We start from the raw sequence: 5,383 nt of genomic DNA on the forward strand, positions 1-5,383 counted from the left end.
CATATGATATTGCTGTGGTTAGATGAACTGACCAATATGAAGTAAGACACTCTCAAAGTAAATTATTTTTGAATAAAATTCTCCAATTGCTTCAGGGGTAAAGGGAAAGGTAAGAATAATTTAATAAGAAAGTTCTCTTACAACTTGCCCTGCAGCTTCTTTTTAAAAAAAATCCTGAACTAAAATCCTTTCTTGATGCTTGACCTTACAAGTTAATTTTTTCCCAAATACTTTACTGTGAGTACCATTAGGCTTAATTAGTGTGATAAAATCTGAAAAAGAAAGTCTGTGTTTCTCTACAAATAATGAATTATATATGGATTTTTATTAAAGTTTAGTTATACTCTATCTGGTATAACAACAAAAATTAAACTTTTGTTTTTATTTTTATATTCTTAGTGTGGTTAGTGTAGAGGTGGTTGTGAAATGTTCATTGCCTGAAAACTTCTGAAATCTAACTTTGAAATTTTTTCTATACATTTATTTTTAATTTGGCTTGCTCTCTCTCTCTCTCTCTCTCTCTCTCTCTCTCTCACTCTCACATCGAGGATAACTTTCTTAATAGAAAAGGAAGGGGAAAAATAGACATACTTTGTTTCCGTTCGGGCAGTTTGTCCTGGTATGAAAGTTAGCAACGCTGGTATAATTGGTTTACAAGACCCATGGGAAGAGTGTTACCATCTCAGCAGGAAAGGGGACCAAAGTCAAAGAAACTGGATAAATTTGTGAAATGGACTAAGAGGATGCTCAGAAAGGGAGAACATTGAGGAGGACTAATGTTATGGATTCCAAGAAGTTCCTTCTAAAAATAATGATGGGTTGGTAATGTAAATGCTACATAAAGATGATGTCAGAGTAGTTCTGAAGTTTAGAGATCACGGCTGACTTGTACAAAAGGAATTTAAACAGAAATTTGAGTGTCAAAAGCATGTCAAACCATGTTTTTCTGGGTTTAGCTAAACAAGGGAGAAATGTAGACTGCCATCTCAAGAAACACAGTTGTGATGAAATTGAGACTTCTAAAGAATTTAATAGAGGTAGGAACAGGTTAAAGATATTTTTTCATTTTCTTTTTATTTGCTTTAAGCAGGGCAAAGCCTTCAGTATGTTTATAAGGACATAGAAACAGAGCATTCTATGGTTCTCAGGGTTTTATGCCTGAGAATGTTAAATAAGAGAGCAAGTTACAGTGTAAATGAAGGTGAAAAGGTCAGAACTTAAGTAAGACTTTTTGTTTTTTTTTTGTACTCAAGGAGGAGTGATACAATAAAACGAATATGAAGAGTTTCCAAAGAGTTTCAACTCTGGTCTGATCATATTCAATATTATATTTAGGGTAACATAGTTGTGATACACACAGTTCAGTGGAGTGAATTTCCTAAAACTATATTTTAAAACTTTACTATTTGGAGTAGTGAACAAATGTAAAAGTTAAACTTCAAAATCAAGTTCACTTGGCTTTGGATTTGAATAGTTGCTCCAATACCGTGTAACTTAGATAAATTTTCTGTGTCTCCATTTTCTTCTTTGAACATTTTTGTATATGGTTTAATTCCTTACAAAAATCAGTTATTTTCTCAAACCAATTTGTTAGTTTCAAAATGGCAAAAAATATTTAATTAAAATGGCTAATATGCCTACATATTTTTATGATTGCATTGAATACCTAACCAACTCTATACAAAAGGTTGCTTTTGTTTCTAATTGCCACTTATTGTACTAGATAGTAAATTACTACTAGTTGGGGGCTATCTTTTTCATCTTTATTTACCCAACTCCTTAGTCAAATGACAAGCCCATAATAAGCACTTGATTAAAGTTTTCTGAGTGAAGTACTAGAGCTAATACTATCTGATGCTTCCATAGAGTTAATTATGTGTTTCCAAATGCATATTGAATTCTTCTCTTCTTTATACTCTTTTATATACCAACTACTGATTATTTTATTGTTGTCTTTACATTTTATTTTTTATTCTTTAAATATCATCATAATTATTTTTCAAATGCAGCCAAGGTCACAAAAAGAGATTTTTTGAAAATTAAGAAAATAAAGATAAAGAAATAGAGTAGAGAGAAAGAGTAAGATAAGGATGTTTTTATTATTACCCAATGGTAATCTAAAAGATATGTGAATTAGTGCCTTCTAAAATTTATTTTTACATTAAATTTTGCTAATCCCGTTAAAATTCATCAAAATAAGAGGGGGCTATGGAAGCATGTACAGAAATTTAGCTTCTAATGTGATAGAATATTTTTCTTAGAAAGCTTTGCTTTGGGGAATACAATTGTTATCATTAGTGAGTTTTCAGTAACTGCCAAAAGTCCAGAGAGATGTGATGAAAGCAGCAATAAGTTTTAGAAGTTGGAAAACATAGATTATATTCTCCTTCCCCTGTGTTATATGTTGGAAAACATAGATTATATTCACCTATCTCTGTGAACTGGAGCAAAAGACTTAGCCTCTGTAAATCTCAATTTCCTATCTCTAAAAATGGAAAAACAATTTTGCGTGGTGTTTAAGGTGAAAGGAGATACTATTTGTGATAATGCTTTAAAAATGTGAATATATATATATATACACACACACACATACACACATATACAGATATATGTGTGGTTTTGTATGTATATATGTATACACATATGATTTAAAAATATGGCAGTACACTAGGCTGTATTCCCATAGTTATGGGGTAGAAATAATTTTCAGTTGTCCTGCTGGTTGCAGGACACAAGGAATAAAGGTTTATTATTTCCTGTTTCTTTGTTTTAAAGTCCCTATAGAAACAAGCAGGTTTCCTTTCCCTTGTTGACAAAATGGAAGCCTACTGGTCACTAACACATCTCCCTTCAAACATAGTATATAATAAACAACCAACTTGCCTAAGGGACAAAGGCTCGGTATCTTACTCTATCTACTTTGATTTCTCAGAAGTTACTGTATTCTAAGTGGTTAATACAACTGCTCCAATAGTTATTACTAATATTGATAGCCAATTGTTTTTATTGATAAAATGTGTAGTTCCTAGAGACTTTTGAGGACAATCTCTCCAAGGCAGAAAAACTGACTTTCTCATAGCTTTCAATTCTGATACCTAAAATTCAGAAAACAGGGAAAAAAAGAAAAGCACAAAAAACTCTTTTTTTTTGTATGCAACTGTTCTTTGACTTTAAACAGTAATGCAATATTGCAATTAAGAAATAGATATAACTGTTGTGGTTAGAAGCATTACATTCAACTTTAGCAAAACTGACACTATAAACAATCAGTGAAAATTACTCAAGATTCTTAAAGTTTAACACCAAAATCTTTCTGGTTAACTGGGAGCATACTTTGGAGGAATCAACAAAGCTGACTCATACTGAATAGCAATACTGCCATCTCAATGCAGGGAAACTTCTTTTGACAGCATAAAACAAAATTCCTTCATCAGTACTTTTCATATAAAATTATCTTTCAAAAAAGTCAATAATAATATGAAATGTACATGTCATAAATGTGAACAATATTAATAACTGCCATATATAAACTGGAAGACATGTAAGAACATTTATAATATGAAAGAATGAGTCAGTGGATGTTAAAAAGTTTAACTTGGGTTTTTGAGAATGTCAATGGCTAATTTGGATATTTAGACATATTTTCACATATAATATACCATTTAATATATCAACAGCAAGTCCTGGTCACCTAAAGTCATTATTGATATGGTAGCCATAGGCATTCATAATATCAATAAGTTTAGTGTTTTTACAGTATGTAATTTGACTTTAAATTATTTTCTCTCTGTTTTCTAAAATTAAGCTTTCTGAAAATATGGTCTATACACTACTATGGATTGAATGACATTGGTCATATTACTTAGGGACACTAAAACTTGCACCTCACTGAAGTGATACAAAAAGTCAACAGGATTAACTTTGTAGTCATTGGAGCATGATATAAAACTTATCTTTCCAGTCCAAAAGGCTGTAAGTCAGTACATTTCTTAACTGTGGTGTTTTATTGCTGTTTAGAGTTTTACTTGTTTTGCAATATTTCAAAAATATTTATTTTCCTAGAGACTTAATCTCCTGCAATGCAATCTGTACAAGTCCTTAGAAGTAATTTTTGAAAGAAAATCTTAAAGGAATTGCCGCCAGTAAGAGGAAAAATTTTCCATACAGAGAAAAACATCAAAGGTAATATATTTTCTTTACATATCCAATAACATTTTATGGGACAGCTTTGTATAAGCAGCTATAGTATGATTTTTTAATGGCCATTGGGATAGACAGAATGTCCTTACTGAAATGTAAATTTGTAATTGAAGTTCCATGTATACTGACTATATTGACTTCTTATTTAGTAGTTTCAGAACAGAGAATAAATATTCATTTAGTGAATTCACTTATGAATCGTTTTCAGCTCAATGGATGAGATATCTGGAAGAGATGTTGCAGTTCTACTTTTGGTTGTGCAGATGTGGTATCCAGCTATCTCAGGATATTAGACCAAACTCAATGTATCATTTTTACAGCACATCTAGAGGTTGTTAGTGACGTCCTGGAAAAAAGGGAAAAGTGAACTGTTGTGCATGATAAAAATGAGGTCAAACTATGCTCATTGTTAACATGATAATTAGGTCTTGCTACTCAGGACTCAAGATGAAAAAGACAGAATTCTCTAAATTTTGTTGTCAACATTGTACATTGTGCTACTGGAGAATTAAAAAAAAAACAGTTTAATTGCTGAAACTGCTTGTTTATAAGATGCTTTGTTGGCAAGGATGATACCAATTTTCTTTTATTTCCCACCTTAAATTGTACACACACACACACACGCATATACACAGACTTTATAGTAAATATAGAAACTAAACCTGCTAAACTACTTTATACTATGTGTATATTGAGTAGAGCAACATACTATGTGATATATATATGTAAATATATATGTACATCCACTATTCACAATCCATAAAATACTATATGTAGTATATAAGCACAAATTTAAATAGAAAATCATAGCCACATCACTCTGATACTCGATAAGACTGTATTTTGTCTCTTTACTTCCTTTTGAATAATATGTCTCCCTCTCTTTGAATTTGAGAATCAATGCATAGCATGACAATAGTAATCTGTATTCACCATCTAGTATTTGTTTGTATTGTAGTAAGAGCCTTGTGTACCCACATTTACTGAATTTTCAAAACATAATGGAAGGCAGAAATTAGTTGAATATTTCTGGAAAAAACAAAATGATTTTCCAAAAGTTAAAACTTCATTCAGCCAGGAGTTATTGGAGCCAAGATTCAATCTCAGTTCTTTTTGATAATGAAGAATAAATTCTAGACCACATGTTAATAGTTCTCCGGAAGCAAATCAAATGGAAAATTGG

The sequence above is a fragment of the Homo sapiens genome, chromosome 8, assembly GCF_000001405.40.
Source record: "Homo sapiens chromosome 8, GRCh38.p14 Primary Assembly".
NCBI lineage: Eukaryota > Metazoa > Chordata > Mammalia > Primates > Hominidae > Homo > Homo sapiens.